General features: G+C 40.4%; 1 protein-coding gene, 1 long non-coding RNA gene and 1 pseudogene across 27 annotated transcripts in view, besides 4 other annotated features; 1 reads left to right on the plus strand and 2 right to left on the minus strand.

Moving 5' to 3' along the window:
* RNF38 (ring finger protein 38) overlaps positions 1-27,819 on the minus strand; it is a 151,270-nt gene that overhangs the window by 50,669 nt on the left and 72,782 nt on the right. For 2 of the 26 annotated variants that reach the window (XM_047422794.1, XM_011517712.3), the window contains exon 3: positions 3,399-3,548. The exons of 5 other annotated variants lie outside the window; for them this stretch is intronic. In XM_047422794.1, the coding sequence (XP_047278750.1) occupies positions 3,399-3,548 (150 nt within the window). Of the gene's footprint in view, positions 1-3,398; positions 3,549-5,086; positions 5,102-6,492; positions 6,547-8,335; positions 8,420-13,028; positions 13,368-13,485; positions 13,904-14,029; positions 14,139-27,819 lie in introns of those variants that run through there. 19 more of the 26 variants (XM_047422799.1, XM_047422805.1, NM_194330.3 and 16 more) reach the window with 19 other exon arrangements.
* Positions 4,696-5,196: an enhancer, noted in NCBI's record as "H3K4me1 hESC enhancer chr9:36391761-36392261 (GRCh37/hg19 assembly coordinates)". NCBI's record gives its function as "activates a minimal SCP1, AML or CMV promoter by ChIP-STARR-seq in naive H9 embryonic stem cells {active_cell/tissue: H9 hESC(naive)}" and the evidence as "EXISTENCE:reporter gene assay evidence [ECO:0000049][PMID:30033119]".
* Positions 13,161-13,230: an enhancer, noted in NCBI's record as "active region_28350". NCBI's record gives its function as "activates an Ori minimal core promoter by ATAC-STARR-seq in GM12878 lymphoblastoid cells {active_cell/tissue: GM12878}" and the evidence as "EXISTENCE:reporter gene assay evidence [ECO:0000049][PMID:35858748]".
* Positions 13,441-13,770: a silencer, noted in NCBI's record as "silent region_19892". NCBI's record gives its function as "represses an Ori minimal core promoter by ATAC-STARR-seq in GM12878 lymphoblastoid cells {active_cell/tissue: GM12878}" and the evidence as "EXISTENCE:reporter gene assay evidence [ECO:0000049][PMID:35858748]".
* Positions 13,801-14,260: a silencer, noted in NCBI's record as "silent region_19893". NCBI's record gives its function as "represses an Ori minimal core promoter by ATAC-STARR-seq in GM12878 lymphoblastoid cells {active_cell/tissue: GM12878}" and the evidence as "EXISTENCE:reporter gene assay evidence [ECO:0000049][PMID:35858748]".
* Positions 14,397-27,322, minus strand: LOC124902152 (uncharacterized). The gene is made up of 2 exons (XR_007061475.1): positions 14,826-27,322; positions 14,397-14,517 (listed from the first exon to the last, which is right to left on the minus strand). It is a non-coding gene; the product is annotated as an uncharacterized LOC124902152 (long non-coding RNA).
* On the plus strand, positions 23,422-23,566 carry MRPS21P4 (mitochondrial ribosomal protein S21 pseudogene 4; annotated as a pseudogene).

Consider the following 27,819-nt stretch of genomic DNA (forward strand, 5'->3'; position numbering starts at 1 on the left):
CTGGGATTACAGGTGCGAGCCACCGTGTGGGAGCCCCTACCTTGTCTATAAATGAGGCATGAATAATCCACCCCGTGTTTAACACATAATCAAGAAATAACCATAAAAATGGGCAACCAGCAGGCCTTAGGGCTGCTCTCCTTTACTTTCTTAATAAACTTGCTTTCACTTTATGGATTCACCTCAAATTCTTTCTAGCACAAGATCTAAGAACCCTCTCCTGGGGTCTGGATCAGGACCCCTTTCTGTTAACAAATTTACAAAATAAAAGCTATAACATAGCAGTCATTAAGATACCACAAACACCCCTAAAATTAATGGTTGTGCCAGATATAAAATTATTTCACCATGTACTTAATTACCTTTTGAAAACTTACTATCTTCAATCACAACCATTGAATCCACTGATAGTAAAGACATGCCTAATTTTAAAACTTTAAGACAGGGGTTGACAGCAAAGAAACATCAGGGAATTTTGGGGGGTGTTTTATTATTCATTGTGGTGGTGACTCCACATCTGTATGCATTTGTCAAACTCACAAACCTATATGCTAAAAAAGTAAATTTTATGTTAAGTATACCTTAATTTAAAAATGTTTAAAATATTGTATGAAGCACTTTAAGATTCTAATTTTAAATATGGGTTTTTATAGAGATGCAAATGAGCCTACACTTACACCTCTTCTGTGGGCAATGAGTACACAAAGCCATCATTTTCACAGAAACATTAAAATACCAACCAAATGTGCACCGGGAAGCACATACAAAATATTACTGGAAGCACTGCCTGTAATAGCATTAAAAAACAAAAACAAAACAAAACAAAAAAAACAGGAAACTACCCAAATGTCAAGCAAAAAGAAAGGAGACAAGCTGCAGTATAGTCATATAATAGAAAACTAAAAACAATAAAATAAATCAAGTATATACAGGCAGATACACTAGTAGGGATGAATTTTTTAAAAAGTATACAAAGTGTGACATCATTTATACTAACTTCAGAAACAAGCAAAATTAAACAGTATAATATCAAGGGATATTTTATATGGTAAAACCATACAGAAAAACAAAAGGATACTGAAGAGAGATGTACGTGAGGCACAAGTATGGGATATAACATGGAGGGTCATATGGGGGCTTCAAAAGTGTTGGTAATGGCTGGTTTCTTATACTAGATGGTCTTATTATTATATAGATGTCTGCTTTACATTTTCTAAATTGCATATATGAAATATTTCACAAATATTATTTCACAAAGCATGTAAAATTTAAACGAAAACCCTGAATTTTGGGCAATTAAAAAGAAGTCTTGACTAGGAGCAATACAAAACAAGCAAATATGAGAAGCAAAATGTAGAAGTTTGTAATAAACAAGGACAATGACAGAACTGATAAATAATAGATATGACTGACAAAAAAAAAGCTCAAAAACAGGATAACTTTTTTTGTTCAAAAAGACTGGTGGTAGAAACAACAGTAAGAATCCAGGAAGTGTAGCAACACATTTTTTCTCCCATATGGCCACTTGACTAGCCACACACCCAACTCCTCATGCTTGGTGTGGGGGGTGGTGGAAATCAATCAATTAACTTCTTTACTCCTAGAGAAGGTTGATGTCCTCAGAAAAGACAGGAGTTTAAAGGAAGCAGAGAGGGTGCCTTAGAAAAAAATGAAAACACAGGCAAATCTGTTTAAAACAGATTATTCTAAAAAGAAGGAAAAGTAGAAAGAATTGGGAGAGAAGGTACTTGAGGAGAAAGCCAATAAGAAAGCATAACACATTAAGGGAATAATTTTGTGACACTAGATGGCTGGGTAGGTTTTTCTTTGCATGTGGTAACTAAGTTTTTAAGGATAAGAAGCATAACTGGAACTAACAAATTACACCCTTTTTTAAAAGATATCAACTAGCTGAAGGTATCAGTATCTCAAAGGGGTTGTGAGAAAGATCTACTTTGCTTCATGTCGAACAGTGGTAGGGCAGTTTCTGGGCAAAAAAAACCTTCTAGATCCCCCTCCACCCCCGCCCCAAAGTTCATTGAGGGCTTTGTTCTAAGGTTCAAGGAAAATAAGGCTTAAGTTAAATTAAAACTATTTAAATAAAAATTTAACAACAATACATTGCATCTTTCTGCAACACTCAAATGCAATTGGCTCTTTGTTTTGTTTTCAAAACATGAATTTAAATCTACTGCATTTGGCAGCTACTCTCTGAAATTAAAGTTTATATTGAGTTACTGTTTGAAAACACAAAGGGAGTATGGAGAAAAGTATCCAAAAAAAAAAAAAAAACCCTTTTTATTGGTGGCAGTATTAAGGGTATTAAGTCCATTTCTTCCACAAATACATAGTAGACAAGATACAGCTAAAGTTAGATTGGAGCCCCTTCTCTGCCAAATAACTACATATGTGATTAGACACCTCACTGAGCTTTTCTTAGCCTGTTTCCACATCTTAAAAACTATCAATGACTAGTTTATTGTGAGGGCTAAAAACAAAAAGAGTTAATACATGCAAAGCAGAGAACCTGGCACAAATTCCAAGAAGGAATACCAGACTGAAGAGCCCTAGATCACCTATCCCTCCAAATTTTTTATCTCCAACTTTATGTGTCACAAGCATTTCACTTTCATACAAACAGAAAATGAGCTGGCTCTTATTCAAAAGTCCCAGCCTTGATGATCAATTATTTCACTACCTCAGGTTTATACACATTGGCCTGCAATCCTACCACTCAGAGGCAATTGTGTAACCTAACTTTTGTGGTAACAGCGATACTGACTTCCACTACTAAAACATGCTTCTCTAGGAATATGGATTGAAAGTTTGGTAGCCAATGATTTCTATGGGCAGATTCCAGTAATCTTGTTAATAACCTAATGAGTTTCAATCCATTTACACACCTTACTTTCGAGTTTTCATTTTATATTTAAAAAAAAATTTTTAACTCACGTTTACCCACAGGTAAAAGAAGACAAGTAACCATGTTTTCTCTCAGAAATGTATGTTACTATCGAACTCTGGGTGCCAAGCAAGTAACTAGTGAACATCTTACATGCTTTCATTTTTCCTTTCCTACACAACTTCATATATTCTACACTATCTTCTACTTTCCTACAGAACTTGACCTATTAGGACAAGTGATTTAAGACCAAAAGATCAAAACACAAGAATATTAAGTAGTCAAATAATTAACAGTAGCTGAGTAGCTCAAGAAGACAAACATTAGTCAGAAAAGCTGGCTGAAAAAATATTAAAGTCCTCTAAGAAGAATACTTATTTCCACATACAACAGAAAACAAGGAGACGATATTGGGCATTTTGTTTCAAGCCTTCCTAGAAACACTGTAGAATGTGACTTTCAGCCCTATGTAGGGAAAGGGTAAATATATAAGAACCTGGAAGAAAGCTTTGAAGTGAGCATCCTCTTGAACGGTAGTGTTCTGATCACTTGGGAGGAGAGGGAACAGGCTCTGAAGTCTCACCCTTTCACAAATCACCTTGTTAGGATGGCCAGGTAGAGATGCTGAATTGGCCCCGGGAGATATCTGGGAAAAAGAGGAAGAAAAGGATAGTTCATGGCTAGCTGCACCAATGTGGAGAATCACGCCTATGAAGGATAGTCTGGATTTTCTAGGTATTTGATGATTCTGCTAGCGAAGACAGGAAAGAAATTAAAAATTAATTTTAAACATCAAAACATAAAGATGGCAAAGGTTGCCTCTGGCAATGGATCTCTCTTACAAAAACTGTTGGAGGCAAAACAGCACAGCCCAAGAACACCACGTCCTTCCTGTTTCCCAAATACCTATTGGTAACTTTTTCTGCTGGTGTTAATTCCGAAATCCTAAAGGACAGACTTCATGCTAAGAAAACCCAAGGTAAAATTACATATCTTAAGTACAGAAAGGTTAAGTGTTTGCCTGGACCAAGATTAATACTTTTTCTCATTCTGTTTTTTAGTTAACCTTCCAAATAATCATGCAAAGGAAAATGACAGATTTAACAATATTTGTGGCAAATTTTCTATAGCAAACATATGTTTGACTGCAGAAATCTCAGCTCTATTCAACACAAACCTAAAGACCTTCCTAAGGAATAAAGGACACAATCATAAGCACAAAAGTAAATGACTGCCACATTTCCAATGCTTGATTTGGCCAATGCAGTGGTCACACCTGTAATCCCAGCACTTTGGTATGCCAAGGTGGGAGGATCGCCCCAGTTATCTACAAAAATTAAAAAACAAAAATAAATGTTTGACTTGATTATGGGTTAATCCTCTTAAATTCATATGTAAATATACTTACTCTGTAACATTAAAAAAAAAATCATGAACATAATGTGTTCCACTGTGCTGTGACAGTGAATTCTTCTTGGGGGGTTAAGGCTCGTGGTCCCTTCTTGTACCTACACTAAAAGTTACATACTTTAACATGGTCTTCTTTTTAGAGTTTCATTGCCTCATTCATTCACTCAATCCTACATTTAAGCATCTATTTGGTGACAGGCATTAAACCAAAAACAAAGGCATCGTTTCCTACTTTTTTTTTTTTTTTTTTTTGAGATGGAGTCTCGCTGTCGCCCAGGCTGGAGTGCAGTGGTGCCATCTCGGCTCACTGCAGGCTCCACCCACTGGGGTTCACGCCATTCTCCTGCCTCAGCCTGCAGAGTAGCTGGGACTACAGGCGCCCGCCACCCCGCCTGGCTAATTTTTTGTATTTTTAGTAGAGACGGGGTTTCACTGTGTTAGCCAGGATGGTCTCGATCTCCTGACCTCGTGATCCGTCCGCCTCGGCCTCCCGAAGTGCTGGGATTACAGGCGTGAGCCACTGCGCCCGGCCCGTTTCCTACTTTCAAAAAGTATATGCTATAAGAAAGAAACAAAAGTAAATCACTGCAGGATGTAAGTATTATGGTAACGCTAGGCACTAGGTGCTATGGAGAAGTAGCTGCCAAGAGACAGCAGTGTAGTCAGGAAACTGCAAAACGTTTAGTATGGCTAGATAGTAAGGAAGCAGCCAGAAACCGATCATAAAATGAAATGCTATTAATATCCCTGCTGTTAATATATTAATACCCTTACCTTCCTTAGCCTTTTTATAGTATTTTGTTTCTGCTTTGCTATGGACCTGGTAAACAGATAACTGTGCCCACTGGTAAGAGTAAAAATACTTCCAAAGACTCACCTAGAAGTAAAAAACAAAGCACTTGAAAGCAGAAACTTTAGAATTCATTAGTTTTCTGTACAGAATGTTCTGATCTCTATACTACAAACATGAATGTGCTATCCTTTACCATTACGCAGAAGTATGCATTGCTGAATCAAGGCGTATTTACTGACTGACTCCTACAAGCCAAGAATTACATTAGGAATATAGAGACAGGCCAAATGCAGTGGCTCACACTTGTAATCTCAACCCTTTGGGAGGCCCTGGTGAGAGAAGAGCTTGAGTACAGGAGCTCAAGACTAGCCTGGACAACATAGAGAAAACCCCATCTCTACTCAAAAAAATAAGTAAATAAATAAAAATTAAAAAAATTAAATTAGTGTGGCATGGTGGCACACTCCTGTAGTCTTAGCTACTCAGGAGGCTAAGGCAGGAGCTTCACTCGAGCCCAGTAGTTTGAGGTTACAGTGAGCTATGACTGCAATACTATACTCCAGCCTGGTCAACATGGTGAGACAATTTCTAAAAATAAGTATTTGTTAATCTAATAAGATATAAAAACATGGGCCCTAACCTCAAGAAGCTTATTCTAACAATTTTTGAAACCCAGATGCAAGCAGCCAACTGTAACATAATATTTAAAGGCCATAAAACAGGGAAAAATTAGGAGTAAGAGTTCTGAATTAATGTGAAGGTAAGAGTTAAGATTTCATAGAAAAAGGAGTATTTCACATTCCTGACTCAATCTAAGGAGGGCTTTTGCCACTCTCTCAAAATGGTTTGCTTCTTTATGTAGGAATCTTTTTGCATCCTCTTAAGCTTTTCATTTGCTCATTATGTATCCTTTGTAGCGTGTTATCCTAAGGCCATCCTGCCTTCAACTATCATGCCCAAAGCAGTCTTACAAAATTGCTAGTACAAGTAGCTGGCTGGGAAAAGACAAATCAAGGTTATGTTTCTTCTCCTTCATTCCTTGTTCCTTTGAAATCTTAAGATCTTGGTCATAGACAAATGAAAAACTGGCCAACCTGGTCCCTGTGGCCATAATTTTCAAGCATATCCTCTCCTACTCACAACAGTTTCCTTTGATCAGAGGCTCCATTTGTCTTAAAAAGGATGGACCAATATAATGGAGAAAAGCTATATTCAAAATAAGTCTGGGACAAAACCATAGATGGGCTTGATTAAAATGAGGTACAATTTTTACTACTAGGTAAAATAAAATCACACACACACATTGTGTGTGTGTGTGTGTGTGTGTGTGTGTGTGTGTGTGTGTGTGTGGGGCAGGCAGTCCCATACATAGGTTGCCCAAGATTACCTCTGGTGTCCATCTCCTGTACAACCCCCTTCCCCATGTGCGCAGGCAGGGCTGTGAATGTGATGTATTTCATTCCCATTATTAGGTTAAATCATATGACAAAGGAGGAAAGACGTTCAGATGTAATGAAGATTCCAAGTAAGGTGAATTCAAGCTAAAGACAGATTATCCTGGGTGAGCCTGGGCATGACTTAATCAGAGAAAGCAGAACTGAGTCCTTCCCAAGAGATTCTCTTGCCAATTCTTCAGACTAAGATGTTGTGAGAAGGCATGCGAAAGGTACCATGTGGCAGGGGCTTGAGGGCAGCTTCTAGGAGCTGAAAGCAGTCACCAGTTGACGACCAGCAAGAAATGGGGGACCTCAGTCCTATAATCACAAGAACCACATTCTACCAGTGAACTTGGAAGGAGACACGGATGAAATCACAGCTCTGGGCCGGGTACAGTGGCTCACGCCTGTAATCCCAGCACTTTGGGAGGCCGAGGCGGGCAGATCACAAGGTCAAGAGATAGAGACCAACCTGGCCAACATGATGAAACCCCATCTCTACTAAAAATACAAAAATTAGCTGGGCGTGGTGGCGCACACCTGTAGTCCCAGCTACTTGGGAGGCTGAGGCAGGAGAATCACTTGAATCCGGGAGGTGGAGGTTGCAGTGAGCCAAGATCGTGCCACTGCACTCCAGCCTGGCGACAGAGCAAGACTGTCTCAAAAAAAAAAAGAAAAGAAAGAAATCACAGCTCCTGCAAGGTAAGACCCTGGGGGCCCAGCAGCTAACCCCATACCAGGACTCCTGATTCATGGAAATTGTAAGGAAATATTTGTGTTTTAAACAAATAAATTTGTAGTAATTTGTTACAGAAAACACAATGTGTATGTATATAACTTGAATAAAAATTATTGTACCACAGTGAAAAAGTTTCTTCTCCAGAATTTTGGCTACACTGATTTGATTACAAAAGATATAAAAATTAACACATTTTTATTTAAGCAGTATAGCAGGTTTTAAAGCCTCAATCTGGTAACAGCTAGCTTCATGCCAGAAACTGAACTGGGCTCTCCCATCTTTATACACTGAACATCAGGTTTAACAGACTTGCTTAAAGTCACATACCTCAGAAATATCAAAACCATAATCTGAACTCAAGTCTATCGAATTCTAAGGTTCATACTCAACCCACAAAACCACCTTCTACTTTAAAGTAACATTCTTTTTTATAATCTAGTTTGATTAGTAAGTATCAACTATTCCACCAGGCCTATTTAAAACCATTTTTAGTACTTAAAAATAAACTTGTTTCCTGAAAACTGATATAATTTTTCTCTAGGCTGGCAACTTTTCAGCATTACAGATTTGCTAACTCTGGCTTTCTCCCAGAATGCAACCTGTATTTAAAAAGTCCTGCCAAGGAAACATCCTGAGACCACATTAAGTCTGCAACTCCCAAAACTTATCATGTTTAATGTCTATTTCCATATAATCATATGACTAATTCATTAAGCATAACTAAGAAAACCCTATTTCACAAAACTAAAGTTTACAGAAAACAGTTTAACCTTTTAAGCATCAACACTACTATTTTAGGACATCCTTTGTTTAATCTGGCCATTCTGTGTTTTGGTAACATAACCAACAATTTAACTTTTCTTGGAGACTTGCAGGTATTATTAGTAATTATCGCACTAAAATTAGCACTTAGGACAAGACACTGTCCCAAAACATTTAAAATTGCTTCTGACAACAGCATCCTTCTTCGTTCATTTCCTTTTTTTTTTTTCTCCAGTAAAAGTGAGAGAGAGGATACAGGTACATGACTTCTAAGCCAGTATGACATAACGTACTTCTACAAAATAAGGTGTTCACGAAGGCCCACAAAGCATTCTTCAGCATACCAACTGGTCGGTCAAAAGCACTAAAATCACAGCCTAATATAAAAGACGAAAACAAAACATTAGATGAGGAGTCAGGTGCTTAGTGTCACCTCTAGCTACAAGTCTGGTTATCTGTAAAATAAAGTCAAATCCAAAACTCCAAATATTCTCACCACTTCCATGATAGCAACTGTTAATCTCTTGGAAGTAATTAGGTAGATTAATAATTTAAAAAACATGTTTGAATCTCTAATATTTAAACTGACAAATTATCAGGTTATATACCAAAATACGAGAAAAGCCATATGCATGAATATGGTCACCACAGCACAATAATAGCGACAATTTAAAAGGTAACTAGAAGCAACCTAAATGTTTAACAAATACTTGCTAAGTAAAATTACGGTACACTTGCTTGAACTATGCAGCCATTAAAAAGTAGCAACCAGAAACACTACTACTTGGGGGAGGAGAAAATTATTTAAATGCTATGATCATAAGGTAGGGTTATATATGAACAGGACTTCATAAATTCAAGAAAAAAGTTATCTTGGAATATTAGGAAGAAAAACAGAGAACTCCCTATAAAGATTAAATAGAGCAGCCAAATCAATGAGGTGACTTGAGCATACACTCAGGAGAACATGTATAAGCTCCATGTCCTGTTCAGCACAATGTCACTAACACCTAGAAGAGTACATGGCACATAGCAGGCATTCAACTATTTATTAAAAGAATAATCTTCCAAACTGTAAGCAAATGATGTAACAGCCTGCCTTTCTGATTTGTGTAACAAGTTTCTTAGAAATCTGGTTGGCAATGAGACAAGCTAAAAGCTTTGATCAAGGAAGAGATCTGATGCACTCACCTGCAGGTTACCATTAAATGAAGTCAGTGGTTGCCCAGTAAGTCCACCCCATCCTACTGAGGCAGAATAAATCATTGAGCTACTGATGCATGCTGTGCTCCTTGCTAGGATTTTTTTTTTTCCCTGTTCTGAGAATAAACTAGACCTAAATGTCACCTTTCCTTTGAGAAGAGTTCTATCACTGGGCCTAAAACAAATCTGTTTCCTTGGCTTTTGTTTTCTGGGAGCAGAGTTCTCTGAAAGGATTTTGACAGTGTGGAGCAGGGGTACTCAAAGTCCCGGATGGCATTCTTCAAAGCTGGTCCAGGAGAGAACACTGCAAACAGGAATGGGACTGTGCACGCTTAGAGTTATGCAAAAGGCAGGCCTGGATGGGCACAGGGATCTTTGGGGGATGACAGAAATGTTCAAAATGTAACCAAAAAAATCTAATTGAATGGAGTGAATTTTATGGTATATAAAACATAACTTAATAAAGCTTCTTTAAAAAAAAAAATCGAGAGCCTGGTTCTGGAAAACTGAGGTCCAAACACTGGGTAGAACTGACCCTCTGAGATGTTACTACCCTTTGAGATCCAAGACAAAATTTCTAAGTCATTCATCTCTAAGCTTCAACAGTTCTCATACACAAATGACACATGAAAAAGACTGAAAGGAATAAAAAAAAAATCATTCTCTCACTACACAACGGTCACAATTTGCTTTATATATGTGTGTGTGTGTGTATATACGTATATACGTATATACACATGTATATATACGTATATATATGTGTGTGTGTATATATATATATATATGTTTTGTTTTTTTTTTTTTGAGACAGAGCTTTGCTCTTGTTGCCCAGGGTGGAGTGCAGTGGCGCAATCCTGACTCGCACAATCCTGACTCACTGCAGTCTTCACCTCCTGGGTTCAAGCAATTCTCCTGCTTCAGCCTCCAGAGTAGCGGATTACAGGTGCTGGTCACCACACCCGACTAATTTTTTTATTTTTAGTAGAGACAGGATTTCATCATATTATTCAGGCTGGTTTCAAACTCCTGACCTCAGGTGATCCACCAACCTCGGCCTCCCAAAGTGCTGGGATTACAGGCGTGAGCTAAAAAATAATTTAAAAATAATTTTGAAAAGCTAATAGGCAGTATTAGGAGAAACCATTCAAGGACTGGTACTATGTGGGTGAGGATGTTCATTACTGCCCAGCACCGGACAATCATTTCTAAACAGAAATTATGGTTCCCACTCTTGAGTTAGGCAAACAAACAGGACCCATCTCTTTCTGAGAGCACAGCAGAAATAGGGTGTGTGAAAACAGCCTAAGGCTCCCCTACTTCCTTTCCCCAGTCCACAATCCCATAAGGTGATGAAAAAGAAGGAAAAGGGAAAAGAAAACAGATGCAACGAAAGAAATCCTCTATCCATTACACAGAGAATGCAGAAATAAAGGGTAGGAAAAATAAGAGTTACATATTTTAAATAAACTTTTCTTTCCTTCCCTTCCAAAATCTAAATTTGCCTACACAAAGATTTTTCTCCCCTCAAAGAAGTATGTCTAAAATCGTTTTACTTAGGTTGGTTACCACAAAGAATTACACAGATGTGAAAAAATATCTAGACCACAAAAGTCCAAACCAATAAAAAATTTTATACACTCTCTCCCTCTCCCTCTCTCCAAACACACACACGGCGCACACACATATAATTACTTACACAATAATTGTGGGTTTTACAATAGTTGGAAAAAAGAGGTATGATTGAGTTATAATTTTATTAAATAACAATCATAATTCAAATAATTATTGCTTGCCTGCCATATGCTGGATGCTGTGACTACAAAATGGGAAAAAGAAACAGTCCTTACCCTTAAAGCAACTCAGTCTAGTGAGGGACAATTAATAACAGGAACTACAAGAAGATAATAGGGCTCCATAACCTAGATAGAAGAGGTGAAAAGTTCAGATCCTTAACAAAGGGAAAGATCTAAGGCAGGCAGGCTCCATGGCAAACACCTGTAGTCCTAGTTACTCAGGAGGCCAAGAAAGGAGGATCACCTGGGCCCAGAAGTTCGAGTCCAGAAGGGACAACATAGCAAAACCCGTTTCTGGAAAAACTAAAATTAAAAAAAAATTTTTTTAATGAAAGATGTAAGAGTTGGGAAGAGACTGTGTACATGACCCCTCTTCTTCATCTGTTTATTCTAAATTTCTCTCATTAATTTACTATATAGAGTTCAAGTATTAATGCTTTATCTCCTCTAGATAACGTCGTATTAATTAACGTTTGCTGATGAACTAGACAAGAACTATACTGTTCAAATCCATGTTTACAATCTGTTCGCTCTTTCCAGAGAAAAGGCTGTGAGTTAAGTAGAGTAAAATGGAAGTGAAAACTGTCTGACATGTTTTCTTAGCAGGAAAACCAAAACAAACACAACGCAACAATCAAGACTAATTAAGAACTACCTTTCCAGCAAGATGAATTACAAAATGGTGGTGGCCTAAACCAAACTAGAGGTAGTACAGAGAAATAGGTGGAATAAACTAGAAGACATAATCTTGACCAATAATCTTTCCATACTGAGCAAGTACCTAATCATTTCAGAAACTTTTATCATAAGAATTTCTCACCCACACTTTCCACTCACAGCCTCAAAAAAAGAAAGTGAGCACAAACAGAAACAGCCTAGGAATGTAACATGAATTAAAAGCCTCATCCAATGCTGTTGGCAGAGAGACAACAGATCTACACTCTACATTATGATGCTAACAGTCAGTTATGTCTGACTATGCCATCTTGTTTACTCTTCATCAAAAATTAGGTTATTTTAGTAGAGAAAATTCTCCTCAATATTCACCCAGAGTAATACTTGACAATTTAACTATAAAAACAAGATGGGCATATAAAGCCCAACAAGTATGGAAATACGAACTACCTTCTAGAATCACAGACGAAGTCAGAGGTGGAAAACCCACAGATTATTTAAGTCCAACTTTTTTTATATTTTACAGATGAGAGCCTGAGGCCCACATGACGAGTCTGTGGCAGAACTTATTCAACTATAGGCGCTAAGGCCTTCAAATCTCTTAGAAATAAGTCTTACAGAAATATCATAAAAATCAACTTAAAATTGAATGAACAATGTATGATTAGCAGGTTTGCAAAAGGTGAAATATACCATATTATAAATATATATAATATATTATATAATACCATATTATAAATAAATATATTATAAATATATATTTATAAACCCCAGAGAAAGGAGTATCTGAAGTGACACAATTCCCAGGTAAACTTCCAGTCAGAAATTTCATCTTTTTATTCCAAGTGTGTCCCAGCTTCCCACACCTGATCTGACATCTATATGTATGTGGTTTCGTATTATCTCTACAAAAGTTCTATTTCTTCCATTAGACGGTGTTCCCTGAAGATAGGAACAATTTTACTTCGATTCCAACTGTCCCTATAAAAGGGAATTTTTTTTAAAGCCTACATACAAGGTTTGTTTGCTATTGAAAAAAATTTACGGTAAATTTTCAAGTATAACAACACTCGCAATCAAGGCCAAACAGAATACAGCAGACTTGCAACTCTAAGGTAACAACTGTATTATGAGCTTTGTATACATTTAAGTTTTCATACGTTAAGTCCACCGCTTAAGAAAAAAGAAATGGCAATTCATATAATGGTGGCAATAATTACATGTGTGTGTTTCTACTTACGGTAGAATTAGCATACCCAACTTTTACTGAATAATAGCATATATCATTTTTGCAACACAAAGAAAAATACTTTACCTTACAAGCCATACAGACGTAAACAAAAACTTTATTTCTTTTTGGACCTCAATAACCTGAAACACTCCCGTTTCAAAAACCAACCTCTCTCACGCTTCAACCCTGAAAGGAAGAACTTGCATCCCCTGAGAACAAAACGCAGCCTATCCAGAAACCCACGGAAGCAGAAGGACGCCAGAGAGGACCCTTTCGACCGGGTTCCGCGTTCTCCTGGGTGACATCATTTCACCTGCGTCTCGGCAAAAAGGGAGGGAGCGAGAGAGCGAGGCCATCTGCCGGGCAGCGGGCCGGCGGCTCCGCGAGCTGAGACCGCGCCTCCTCGCCACCGCGGGAACAAAGAGCGCCGGGCGGCCGAGGCAAACCTTAGCCCAAGACTCGGGCGCGGCCCCGCAGGCTCTCAACGGCCCGCAGCCCGTCCCGCCCTCGCGCTGCAGCCAACGGCCGCGGCGGCCAGTACCTGCGAGGGGAGGCTCCGCCCTGCCGGGCAGCTCCCGCGGATCCTCGCTGGGCCGCCGCCTCCTATTGTGACTGCTCGCCCAGCCCGCGGCCAGCTCGCCAGATCCGCCGTCCGCGGGCCTCCTCACCCCCGGAACCCCGGCTCCAACTTAGGCACTGTCACTGCGCTTCCTTCCTCCCGGCACCATCACACGGGCCGCGCCAGGAAACGACGGCTGCACGCCCAGAGATGACAGAGTCGCCTAACGCCTCGGAGGCTCCATCCTCTCCGCCCCCACGCCCCAACCGACCGGGCCTCGGCCCCGTCCCGCAACACCGCACTAGGGGCCCGGCCCGGCCACGCCCCTCCCCGCCCCGCCGCGCCCCGCCGCACCCCGCCTCACCCCGCCTCGGCGATCACAGACCCGGGCTCCCTATGCGCCGGCGCACTGGCCTCCGCTGCGCGCGCAGGCGACTCCCCTCGCCGCTAGGCCGCGACACGCGCGGTCCTCCCACTTCTTGGGTCCGGGTCGCCCGTCCCACCCCGTCCCCTCGCCAGCACAAACCTAGCGAGCCCAGCGCGCCAGACCACCGGAGCGCTCCTCCCTTTTCCCCCAGGCTCCGCACCGCGCGCCGAACCCCCTTTGTTTCCACCCCGAGGGGGAAGGGGGCGGGGCGGGGCGGGGCGGGGCTGCGCGCGGCCCGGCGCACGACTCGGACCAGTTCCGGCAACAGAGCTCCGCGCGCAGCACCACTGCGCAGCCCCGCCCCAGCCCGCCCCCCGCTGCCCTGCGGACCGCAGGGCCCTGTTCCAATTCCTATAGATTTTCTCTTAGTAAATTGTTGCTACTGTTCCGTGCCTCCTACCTACAAAACTCCGCAATCAAACAGTAACTGACCTCACGTAGTTCTTACAGCATAAATGCATTCACGTGGCCCGAAAAGTAAGAATTTTTATTGCAGTACACAAAGGTGTCTCTCAATGCAGCAAGCCAACAGGTTCGAACCCAACTTGTCCGAGGCTTCCTTAAGTGTGACAGTTGCTCAGATGTCGCTTGGGGAGGGGAAATAAGAACAAAGATTGAAGCCGGCTTGGCTCCTGTCCTGATAATCACGATACAAGAGAGAAAATAAAAATTTCCACAAAAGCACAATCCATACAAGGAAAAAATAGTAAAGTGGTATCAGACTTAAGGAGAGAGGGCAGTCAAGAGGACATCATGGAAGGGGTGGACTTTTTAAAGCAGAAATTAGATGTTTCCCGCAAGGATGGTGATCATATTTTAGGGTGGTAGAGTAAAATTATTAAGGACCAGTCAACAGAAAACTCGGGTTTTCAAGTTCTAGTTCTTTTGGCATTACTTAAACCAGTCTCTCTTTCCCTCTCTGGGCCTCAGCTGCAACCAGTAGAAAATGGGGGAAATCAGAGTAAATGTTGTTTCAGGACCTTCTGGACCTTGGACATTCTCTTTATGAACAACACTATATGGTAATTATTTATGTACACTTGTCTCCCATATCAGACTGAGCACCCAGACTCTGTTGGGACTGTGTAAACTAAACCCAAGGCCCAAGTCTAGTGCCAGAAACACAAGAGAAGGTGTTTAGCAACTGCTGAATCAAAGTTCCAGCAATAACATCATAGGTTTTGGAATTCCAGGACAAACAAAGAGAAGCTGGAAAGAGGTATTAGGTCCCTATGAACATATCCACCCCAAACCCATACTCGAATTATGTAACCCAGTTAACCAGCTGGCTGGCTCTCTCCCAAAGCAGCCAGTTTGGAGATGATCACATCTAAACTTGTTTTTTTTGTTTGTTTGTTTCACTTCAAGGTAAAGTGCCAACCATACCTTTAAGTTTATCCAATGTATCCTATTTTCTATCCTCTGTATCCCTCACAAATCGCAATCTACTGTGGATTCGCCTTCCAATTACAGATCTTCCACCAGAATCTAAGCTTAAAAAAAAAAAAAAAAATCCTCCCTACAGAACGCAGACCACCCTGAAGTAGCTTTTCCTCCAAGCTTGGATAGGACTATGTGAAGAGAGGGGAAAGGGGAGAAGAACATCAGGAAAGGAAAGGGAAGTTACATTTGGGAGCTATCTAACTGTAAGAGAGGCAGATTCCTCAAGTGCTGAACTCAGCAGCAAAAATCTATTACAGTCCTCCAGCATTCCTCACCTCTAAGCTTCAGCAAATCCCTCTGAGCTTCAGCCAACCTTTTGTGAGGCAAGCTTCCTGAAACCTCTCAAATGGTTACGATCTTCAACAATGCTGTCACAACCCCAGGTTGGATAGTTTTAAATTTCTTCTTCTTTTTTTATTTTTTTTGTATTTTGAGACACGGTGCTCTGTCGCCCAGGCTGGAGTGCAATGGCTGGATCACATCTCACTGCAGTCTCAAACTCCTGGGCTCAGGCAATCCAGGCTAAATTTTTAATTTTCTGTAGAGGCAGGTCTCACTATGTTGCCCAGGCTGGTCTCTAACTCCTGGGCTCAAGCAGTCCTCCCATATTGGCCTCCCAGAATGCTGGGATTACAGGTGTGAACTACCATGCACAGCCTCTAATTTATTTCTTAACCAGAAAATCTTAAGCCATGCAAGTAAACACCCAAAGAGCAGGCAGGCTTTTAAAGTGGTGGGCCACCTTTGACACCTAATGTGGCAGGGGCTAAAGTTATACCAGAGCAGTCACTTAACTACAGTCAAGCTAAAATTTTATTTGGTGTCTGTCCACAAAGGTGGAAAGTCCCACTGCAGAACTAATAGAACTTTCTGCAATGACAAAAATATTCTACATCTGCCCCATCGAAAAGGCTGCCACTAGCTAGTGACATGTAGCTACTGAGCACTTGAAATGTGGCTAGTCCAATTAATGAATTGTCCAGGATCAGTTTTTAAAGCCACACAGGGCTACGGGACAGTACAGCATTTGTAAGAAAAGGTGCTTTTGGCAAGAGCTTTTTGAGAATTCTGACTCTGAGGCTCCCTTTAAAAAACTGGTTTTCTTGACAAGTGAAAATTGTGAATGACTACTGTTATTCCAGAGCTACCCAAGTCATTTGAGTCCCTTCAATTTTAAAATAAAAATATATCAAAACATTGCTTACTGAACAGGAAAATGCTGAAGTTCCTTCAGATGGTTCTGGTAGTTATTCAATGAGATTGTTTACTCTGGTGTTCTGCCATTCTAATACATGGGAATAACAGCAGCCACTATACAAAAACTGCATAGGATTTTAGAACTGATCACCTAGTGAACAAATTCAGCCTATTCTTCAATGCTAAATCTCACCCACTTTTCACCTTTTAAAGAATGTGACTCTACAAATTCTCTTTTATACCATCATGTTTTTCTCTTTATTGGATTATTCCTAACAGAACACAAAAACACACCATTAATTTCTCCCATCTTTAAATCTTTATAGTTAATGGTTTCAGGTTTGTGTTTCTAGTTGCTGTCATTATCCTGTTTAAGAAATATTTCCCTTCACATGGGTCATAAAGACATTCACCTATATTATTTCCTTAGAATTTTTATTATTTTCTCTTTTCCATTTGGATCTACACATCACCTGCAATTGATTTTTGGTGTTGGTGAGGAGGGAATCAAGTGCCCTCTTCCCCATACGGACATCTACTTGACACAGCATCATATACTGAAAAAGACTTGCCAACTGCTCCTTTGTTTAAAAAACTGTGGCCACATATGCATGAGTTTGTTTCTGGGTTCAGTAGTCTGTTGCACTGTTCTCTTTATCCCTGTGCTGATCCACACCATCGTCATTACTGCAGCTTTATAAGACTTCCTTTCATCTGTTACAGCAGGTTATCCTTCAGAGTGTCTACATTATCTCTGGCCTTTTAAATTTCCATAGGAATTTTAGAATCAAATTATTTCAAAAGAAGGAAAGAAAAAAAGACAAGGAAAAAGGTGAAATTGCTGGGATTTTCTTGGGCTGCATTAGATCTAGAAATGAGTTAAGGAATATAGGAAGATTAAATATTGTAAAGATAGCAATCTATAAGCTATTTACTTGAGTCTTTAATTCTTTCAATAATGCTTTATAGTTTTCTATCAAGGTCTTGCATATTTTAGTTCTTAGGTTTATTCTAGGTTTGTTAATATAATTCAATTATTAATTCTAATAGTTTATCTCAGTTCTTTTGAGTTTTCTATACAAACAATTCTGTTTATATCCTTGTCTACTTGGCAGAAAATACTGGCTGTTCCATTTCTTTCTTTCCAACATATACTCATTTTCTTGTCTTAGTGCACTGGCAACGACCTCTAGTACAGTGCTAACCAGACAGCTTTGTTTTATTCCAAACCTCAACTGAAAAACTGTCGACATTTAAGTACGGTGTTTGTAGTTTTGTTTTTTTTTAAGACCCCTTTAGAAAATTAAAGGAGTTCTCTGCCATTTCTAATATATTAAAAATTTATACATGGGCCAGGTGCAGTGGCTCACACCTGCAATCCCAGCACTTTAGGAGGTCGAGGTAGGCAGATCACCTGAGGTCAGGAGACCAGCCTGGCCAACATGGTGAAACGCCATCTCTACTAAAAACTACAAAAAATTAGCCAGGCATGGTGGCACGTGGCTGTACTCCTAGCTACTTGGGATGCTGAGGCAGGAGAATCACTTGAACCCAGGAGGCGGAGGTTGCAGTGAGCTGAAATCGTGCCTTTGCACTGCAGCCTGGGCAACAGAGAGAGACTCTGTCTCTTAAAAAAAAAAATTCATAAATGGATGTTTGATTTTATGAAAAACTTCTGTATCTACAAGTTAATCATATGACTTTTCTGTTAATATGTGAATTTGATTGGTTTGGGGGTGTTAGGAATTCACATTTCTAATCAGCCCATTTTAGGCTTACTGTATTGCTCTAAATGGTTGATTTGGTTTGTTTAGAATTTTTGCTTCTGTGTTGAGTGAGTTTACCTGTAATTTTCCATGTTTATAATGTCCCTATCAAGTTTTGTTACAAAGACTTATGCTAGCTTCAGAAAATGAATCAGGGAGTACTGGCTTGCTTTCTATTCTCTAGAAGTGTTTCTTTAAGACTGGTGTTAACGCCTTCTTTAAATGTTTGGGAAAATTTGCTGGTTGGCTAACTGGACTTGGAGTTAAATTTCCTTAGATGTCCTGTTTTTTCTTTATTTCTAACTAAGGCAAAACAACTGTAATCTTAGGATATATATATAAGAAAGATCTCATTCTGAAATTCACTATCTGCTTCTAGAAAACCATTTCCCAATCTTGTGAATTTGAAGGGTACCGTTGCTACAAATACATTTTAAAACACACTAAACAATAATCATAAACAAATTTAAATAAGTGCTAGTTAATAGTCTGTCAAATGGTAAATATACAGTTTATTTTTGTGACCAGTTTTGCATTTCTAGACATCAAGGAATATCTAAAATAATGGTTATCTGAAGGATCTTTTTACAAAAAAGTTGACTATGAGGTTACAGGCTGTCCTCCTTATCCCTCTACACACTTGTATCATAACACCTTACAGCGTTTATCAAATATCTGTTTCCTCCTGTTAAACTGTAAGCTCCTCAAGTCTCAGTTCTGCTTTGTTTGTATATCACTGACACCGATGTTGGGGGGAAGAATGGATGACGGAAAATGCACAAAAATGGAAAGAGGACCATCTCCTATTTTAAGGCATTGAAAGGCATGATTCAACAGCTACAGGTAAAGAACCACTTGTCCAAATGCTGAAGAACCATTCACATGGAAGGAAATGTCAAAGGAGGTGCTGGGGTAAAGAATGGCTTACCTGCTGGAAGTTCTGGACCTCTACTAATGAGAAGGCAGTTCCTCATTGGTTAACACTGTCAGTACTGTTCTGCCATCACATCCACATCCAAGTATCCCTACTATAATCTCACTCCAACAACCTCAATCTCTATTGCCGAGTTAGTGGCCTCTCCTGTGTGTTCTAAAATAGCATTAATCATTCTGCCTTCCAACTTTGTATTTACTTGACACTTCTGCCCAATAAATAGTAAACTTCTTGAAGCCAAGGACTAAGTCTTACCAAATCTGGCAAGGGGTTAGCACATACCATGTGCTTAATAAATAGTTCTGTTAATGATATGTAAATATTTCACAGCAGTGGCTGATTCTACGTTTCTCGCTTGGTAAATTCCCAAGGAGAAATGAAGCACAGGAACAACAGAAAGCGGGCAGTGAAAAGAGAGGAAAAGGGATGCAGAAAAAATAAATTTCAAAATCTTCCCTGAAGCTAGCTTTGCTGTCATCCCTAAGTTTCCTTTCTTCCTCCAAAACCAGCTAAAAGGACTGAATAACATAAAGCTGCACTGGGCCGGGCGCGGTGGCTCACGCCTGTAATCCCAGCACTTTGAGAGGCCAAGGCGGGCAGATCATTTGAGCTCAGGAGTTTGAGATTAGCCTGGACAGCATGATGAAACCCCATCTCCACCAAAAATACAAAAAAAACCCAAAAAACAAAAGATAAAGCTGCACTGAGGGAAAAGGCATATTGGCTGAACAGCATTTAGCCTACGCAGTATCTACAAGCATGCTACAACTTGATCTACTACTGCAAAACAATCAGCATAAGCAGTTTCACCCAGAAATGTTAACACAAATCAAAGTAGAAAAAGTTAATTAGTAGCAGCTGCCGGCTATAGCAGCTAGAGACCAGAAGAGGGCAGCAAAGGCTCACCCAAATCGAAGTCCACTGAAAGCCTCCCATATTATATAGCCACTTATCCAGCTTTGAGGTGAAGAGTTAGTCAGGTGGCTGTTTCCACAGTGCAGGTGAGAGATGACTTGGACTGAACCATGGTAGCTGGAATGACAGAGGGCAAGCTCATGGTAGTGAAGGTGTGAAGGGGCTAAAGCAGGTGGACAGTGAAAAGGCATCGGCCAGGAAGGAGTTCAAATGAAGAAACCTAAGTGCCTAGGACAGCCAAGTCAGAAGCAGAAAAACAGAGACCTATACCAATCAGAAGTGGAGACCCAAGGGCACAAATAAAGCATACACTGCACATCACAGCATATTCAACCTCTAGAACAGGGTAACCAGGCAGGAGCTGACCCTGAGGCAACAGGCCTCCACTAGATGGCCTGCTGTAACCTATACTCTTTGAAGCCACACTCTTGCTTGTTCTGTTCCGGAGAACAGACAGCACCTTGAGCTCAACTGTATGCTCCAGCAGCTTCATCTCAGGGGCAATCATATTCTGGCACTACAGTTTTTACCAAATCCAATGGAGACCCAGAGCACAAAAAAAAGTTAGCCACATACAGATCTAGGTTATTCTTTTCAACAAAGCCAATTCTTTCTTTGTTAGGGAGGAACCATCTCTGTATTTTTTTTAAATCCTGTATTACATTTAGGTTGTTCTCAGTGTTTTGCTATTACAAAGCTATTATTAATATTCTTGTACATACATATAGTTTGGCAAGCATTTGAAAATATATCCATAAAAGTACATTTCTAGAAGTAGAATTGCTGGTTCAAACAGTATGTGAATTTTCTTAAAATTTCAAGATATATTGCTACACTGCCTCCTAAAAGGCAGCATCAATTTTTTTAATTTTTTGAAACCTGTCACCCAGGTTGAGGTGCAGTGTCATGATCACAGCTCACTGCCCCCTTGAATTCCTGGGGGCTCAAGTGATCCTCCCGCCTCAGTGCTGAGTAGCTGGGACTACAGGCATACACCACCACAACAGACTTAATTTTTTTTTTTTTTTTTTGTAGAGACTAGGTTTCACCATGTTGCCAAGGCTGGCAATTTTTATTCAAAGCAAAGCTAACTGATCACAGTTTGGAGTTGACCCTGGAGGGGAATCAGTAGTTTTCAGGGTACTCCCTGAGGAAAGATAGGCTAGCCCTATGGACAGCAGTACGCCAAGCATCAGGAAGAGAGAAGCCCTGAGCAGAACTTGGACCAGTATACTTTTAGTGAAGCCATATTTCATATGCAGCTTTAAGTTCTCTTTGTTCTGATGCCCTTCTGTTAAATCCTTTATTAAATATTAATAGCCTAGGAACTAGGCCCAAACTATAATCTAGGAGCTGGGCCTAAACTTGAGCCAAAGTGACACCAGTGAGAACACCTTAGGGAAGCTGGTGACCAATGGGCCATGGGTCAAAGGACTGGCTGGAAGGACAAGCAGTTTACCCAGGAAGTCCCAGAAATACCTGGAGAGGAAAGCCAGACAAACTGTTCAACTGAATTTAAGAAAAGCAAGCGCTCAAATCATTAAGAATTGGGCATTAATGGAAAATGTGATCCCAAAAGCCAGTGAAATAAGGACTTAAATGGGTTATACTTACATAAGTGCTTCAAGAAAATAAATGATGTTATGCACATGGCCGGGTGTGGTGGTTCACCTCTGTAATACCAGCACTTTGGGAGGCAGAAGGGAGCGGATCACTTGAAGTCAGGAGTTCGAGGCCAGCCTGGCCAACATGGTAAAACCCTCTCTCTACTAAAAATACAAAAATTAGCCGAGTGTGGTGGTGAATGCTGGTAATCCCAGCTACTTGGGAGGCTGAAGCAGGGGAATCACTTGAACCTGAGAAGCAGAGGTTGTAGTGAGCCAAGATCACACCACTGCACTATAGCCTGGGTGACAGAGTGAGACTGTCTCCAAGAAAGAAAGAGAGAGAGAAAGGGAGGGAGGGAAGGAGGGAAGGAAGGATGGAAGGAAAGAAGGAAGGAAGGAAGGAAGGAAAGAAGGAAAGAAAGAAAGAAAAGAAAGAGAGAGAAAGAAAAAGAAAGAAAGAAAGAAAAAGAAAGAAAGAAAGAAAGAAAAAAAGAAAGAAGGCAGGCGGGCGGGCAACAGAAGCACAGCCAATTAGCTACTTTACTTTTGGGAAAGACCACGAAGAGAAGTCGCTGAAAACAGACATGGGAATCACAGTCTTAAGAAGTTTGAGATGCAAGAAACATTCGAATGCTGCAGACCAGACTGCCTGAACGTCTTACTATTTCCATTATGTTCAATGAGGAACACACTTTCTTTCCTCTAGGGAATTCTGGTGGAGCTCAAATACCTGTACAGTCAATAACTTGCTCTAGATGACACACACCCTGCTATAGAAGTCTAACATCTTGCATTCATGAAATGTGACCAGCTCACTAAAACTGCCAGTGTTTCCACTGATGATAGTTTTAGGATCCTAACACGAATGGTTTTGCACAGACATATGTGATACACGGTGCATCTCCACAAACCCTGTATCCTCCTGCCCGTGCCACATTCTACAGGCCCTCCAGACTTTAAGGAAAAGAAGGAAATATGTGGGCAGATTTCTAATTTGTACTACAAAACAAATCATAATATTAAGTAAATCTCTTAAGGCAGTACAACTCTTTGTAGAGTAAATATAAAATTTAAGCTTCCATAGGAAGCTTATTTATCTTCCCCTGGCTTGCTTGTTCCTGTTGCAATAGTGTCTTGTAAATAAAACAAAATAAACTTAGGAGATAATGACATTTTAAAGACCAACAAAATAATCTCCAATAACAACAATCTCAAAATACCTATCATTACATGGAATCTCTAATCAGATATTTTACAACAAAGCAAAGTGAGAATCTACTGAAAACACAGTGGGTCACATAATCATATACTAAATAAATTCCAGGTAGATAAGAAAGGATAATGTAAAATTATTAAAACTTTTAGAAAATACGGGTAAATATCTGAATGGAGACAGATTTCCTAAACCTAAAGGCAATGAAACACTACAAAAGAACATATCACAATAGATTTGTTCCTCAAATTATTTATTTATTTTTATTTTTGAAATGGAGTCTTGCTCTGTCGCCCAGGCTGGAGTGCAATGGCATGATCTCGGCTCACTGCAACCTCTGCCTCCTGGGTTCAAGCGATTCTCCTGCCTCAGCCTCCCGTGCAGCTGGGATTACAGGCGTCCACCACCATGCCTGGCTAATTTTTGTACTGTGAGAAGCCATGCCACCAGGAACAAAGGGAAATCTATGAAACCTGCTGGCAGATCTACAACATGGAAATGGCTAGCAAGATCAACTTCTTGATGTAAAAGAATCAGGCAGAACCGAGGCAGGAATGCTGAGGCCTGCGGATAAGACATCCAGTATGAAAACACCCAACCAGTTTTTGTCTCTATCTCTTTTCTTTCAACAACCCTATTTTCTATTACTATTCTCTAAAATAAATCAATCACGTTTCCAAGAAGGCCTCCACATATAAAAACAATCCTATTAGTCAGCAGTGGACCCTCTCTTTTATTAAGTGAAGGAAGAAATGGAGTCTGAAAGTAGTCTAGGAGTAGAATGTTGTTTCCCAGGGGCTGGAGGAGGCAATGAGGAGTTATTGTTTAATGGGTAGAATTTCAGTTTAGGAAGATGAAAAAGTTCTGGAGATGGAGAGTGGTGGTGGCTGCACAAAAAGGTGAATGTACTGTATGTACTTAATGCTACTGAACTGTACATTTAAATGGTTAAGATGGTACATTTTATGTTATGTGTATTTTATTACAGTAAAAAATGTAACTTATGTAATAAGTGAAAATACATGTAAATCATGTCTAGTAAGGGGTTAATATCCAGAATATATAACTCCTAAAACTGAACAGCAAAAAAAAAAAAAAAAACCTGATTAAAAAATGGCAAAAGGAAGTGTAAATGAAAACCACCATCTCACACTCATTAGGATAGTTACTATAAAAAAATTAAAAAGAAAATAACAAGTGTTGGCGAGGATTTGGAGAAACTGGAATCTCTCTGCACTGTTGGTGGGAATATAAAATGGTACAGCCACTATGAAAAACAGTATGGCAGTTCCTCACAAAATAAAAAACTGAATTACCATATGATCTAGCAATTCCACTTCTGGGTATATACCAAAAAGAACTGAAAGCAGGGTTGAAGAGATACTTGTCCACCCGTGTTCATAGCAACATTATTCACAATAGCCAAAAGGTGGAAGCAACCCCAAGTATTTATCAATGATGAATAAACAAAATGTGATGTATATTACAATGACATTTTTTTTCCTTGAGACAGAGTCTTGCGCAATCACCCAGGCTGGAGTGCAGTGGTGCAATCTTGGGTCACTACAACCTCCGCCTCCCAGGTTCAAGTGATCCTCCTGCCTCAGCCTCCTAAGTAGCTGGGACTACAGGTACCTGCCACCACACTGGACTAACTTTTGTATTTTTTTTTTTTTAGCAGAGACAAGGTTTCACCATGTTGGCCAGGCTGGTTTCAAACTCCTGACTTCAAGTGAACCACCACCTCAGCCCTCCAAGGTGCTGGGAATATAGGCATGAACCACCACGCTCAGCCTTACAAAAGAGTATTATTCGCCTTATAAAGAAAGGAAATTGTGATATATGCTACAACATGGATAAACCTTGAGGACCTGCTAACTGAAATAAGCCAGTTACAAAAAGAAAAACAGTGTATGATTCTACTTGTATGAGGTACATACAGCAGCCAAATTCAGAGAGACAGAAAGTAGAAGGGTGGTCTTTTATAAACATGTTGTATTATGCCACTCCTTTGCATAAAACCCTCCAATGGCTTCTCGAAAAAGCAGAATAAAATCTAGACTACTTTCCCTGGCTTACAAAGAACTACATGGGCTGGCCCATGCCCACCTCTCCAAGCTCATCTCATACCATTCCCAATCCGCATCCACCATGCTTACAAATATCAGCCTTTTGTTTCCCTCATCTTTCCGGCTTTAGGGATTTTGCACTAGCTGTATTATTTCCCTTAAATGTTCTTTCCATGACCCTGATTTTCACCTGAATTGTTACTTATTATTCAGATCTTTGCCAAAGTGTCAGGTTGAAGGCCATCTTCAACACCTAATAGAGAGCAGCTAACTACCCAATTACTTGCACAACATGAATCTTGAAATGACCATGTGATATGGTTTGGATATTTGTCCCCTACAAATCTCATGTACTGTAATCCCCAGTGTTGCAGATGGGACTTCGTGGGAGGTATCTGGATTTTGCGGGTGGATCCCTTATGAATGGCTTAGCGCCATCCACTTGGTGAAGAGCGAGATGAGATCTCGCTTTGGTAGTCCACGAAAGATCTGGTTGTTTAAAAGAACATGGCACTGGCTGGGTGCAGTGGCTCACGCCTGTAATCCCAGCACTTTGGGATGCCGAGGTGGATCACCTGAGGTCAGGAATTCAAGACCAGCCTGACCAACATGGTGAAATCCCATCTCTGCTAAAAATACAAAAATTAGGGTCAGGCGCGGTGGTTCACACCTGTAATCTCAGCACTTTGGGAGGCCAAGGCGGGTGGATCACCTGAGGTCGGGAGTTCAAGACCAGCCTGACCAACATGGTGAAACCCTATCTCTACTAAAAATACAAAATTAGCCGGGTGTGGTGGCACATGCCTATAGTCCCAGCTACTCAGGAGGCTGAAGCAGGAGAATCGCTTGAACCCAAGAGGCAGAGGTTGCAGTGAGCTGAGATCAAGCCATTGCACTCTAGCCTGGACAACAAGAGCGAGAGTCCATCTCAAAAAAAAAAGCTGGGCGTGGTGGCAGGTGTCTGTAATCCCAGCTACTAGGGAGGCAGAGGCAGGAGACTCATTTGAACCTGGGGGGGCAGAAGTTGCAGTGAGCCAAGAATGCGCCATTGCACTCCAGCCTGGGCAACAGAGCAAGACTCCATCTCAATTTAAAAAAAAAAAAAAAGCATGGCATCTCCCCACAACTCTCTCTTTCCCTCTATCACCATGTGATATCGCCTCCTTTCCCTAAGCTTCCTGAGGCCTCACCAGAAACCGATGCGGCACCATGCTTTGTATAAAGTCTGCAGAACTGCAAGCCAATGAAACTTTTCTTTATAAATTTCCCAGCCTCAGGTATTTCTTTATAGCAACACAAGAACAGACTAACATAATCATGCTCAATGAGAGAAGCCAGACACAAAAGGCTACATTTTGAGATCCCATTTTATGAAATGTACAGAATAGGCAAATTCATATACAGAAATATCAGTGGTTGCTGGGAGCAGGGGGCAAGAAATAATGAGAAGCATGGGATATGTTTCTGTTTGTTTGTGTCACCTATGGTTTCTTTCAGCAGTATTTTGTAGTTTTCCTTGTAGAGGTCTTTCAGCTCTTAGGTCTATTCCTAGTTTTGTTTGTTTGTTTTTGCAGCTATTGTAAAAGCAGTTGAGTTCTTGATTTGATTCTCATTTGGTCACTTTTGTTGTATAGTTCAAGCCCATTGTTTCTTTGTTAACTTTCCATCTTGATGACTTGTCTAGTGCTGTCAGTGGAGTATTGAAGTCCTCCACTATTATTGTGCTGCTGTTTTCTAGTAGCAATTGTTTTGTAAATTTGGGAGCTCCAGTGTTAAATGCAAATATATTTAGGATTATGATATTTTCCTGTTGGACCAGTCCTTTTATCATTACATAATGTCCCTCCTTGTCTTTGTTAACTGTTACTGCTTTAAAGTCTGTTTCGTCTGATATAAGGATAGCGACTCCGGATAGCGACTCCTGTTTGCTTTTCATGTCCATTTGCATGGAATATCTTTTTTCACTCCTTTACCTTATGTTTATGTGAGTCCTTATGTGTTAGGTGAGTCTCTTGAAGACAGCAGATACTTGGTTGGTGAATTCTTACCCATTCTGCCACTCTGTATTCTTTGTGGAGCATTTAGGCCATTTACATTCAACGTTAGTATTGAGATGTTAGCTACTATTCTATTCATCGTTCTCGCTGCTGCCTGAATATCTTGGTATTTTTTCCTTGTGTTATTGTTTTATAGGCCCCGTGAGATTTATGCTTTAAGGAGGTTCTATTTTGGTGTACTTTGAAGTTTTGTTTTGTTTCAAGATTTAGAACTGGGCTCACGCCTGTTCATCCCAGCACTTTGGGAGGCTGAGGGGGGCAGATCACCTGAGGTTGGGAGTTCGAGACCAGCCTGACCTACATGGAGAAACCCTGTCTCTACTAAAAATACAAAAAATTAGCCGGGCGTGGTGGCACATGCCTGTAATCCCAGCTACTCGGGAGGCTGAGGCAGGAGAATCACTAGAACCCAGGAGGTGGAGGTTGTGGTGAGCCGGGATCGCACCATTGCACTCCAGCCTGGGCAACGAGAGCGAAACTCTGTCTCCAAAAAAAAAAAAAAAAAAAGATTTAGAACTCCTTTTAGCAGTTCCTGTAGTGCTGGCTTGGTGGTGTCGAATTCTCTCAGCATTTGTTTGTCTGAATAAGACTTTTATCTTTCCTTTATTTATGAAGCTTAGTTTCACTGGATACAAAATTCGTGGCTGGTAATTGTTTTGTTTAAGGAGGCTAAACATAGGACTCCAAT

The sequence above is a fragment of the Homo sapiens genome, chromosome 9, assembly GCF_000001405.40.
Source record: "Homo sapiens chromosome 9, GRCh38.p14 Primary Assembly".
Classification (NCBI taxonomy): domain Eukaryota; kingdom Metazoa; phylum Chordata; class Mammalia; order Primates; family Hominidae; genus Homo; species Homo sapiens.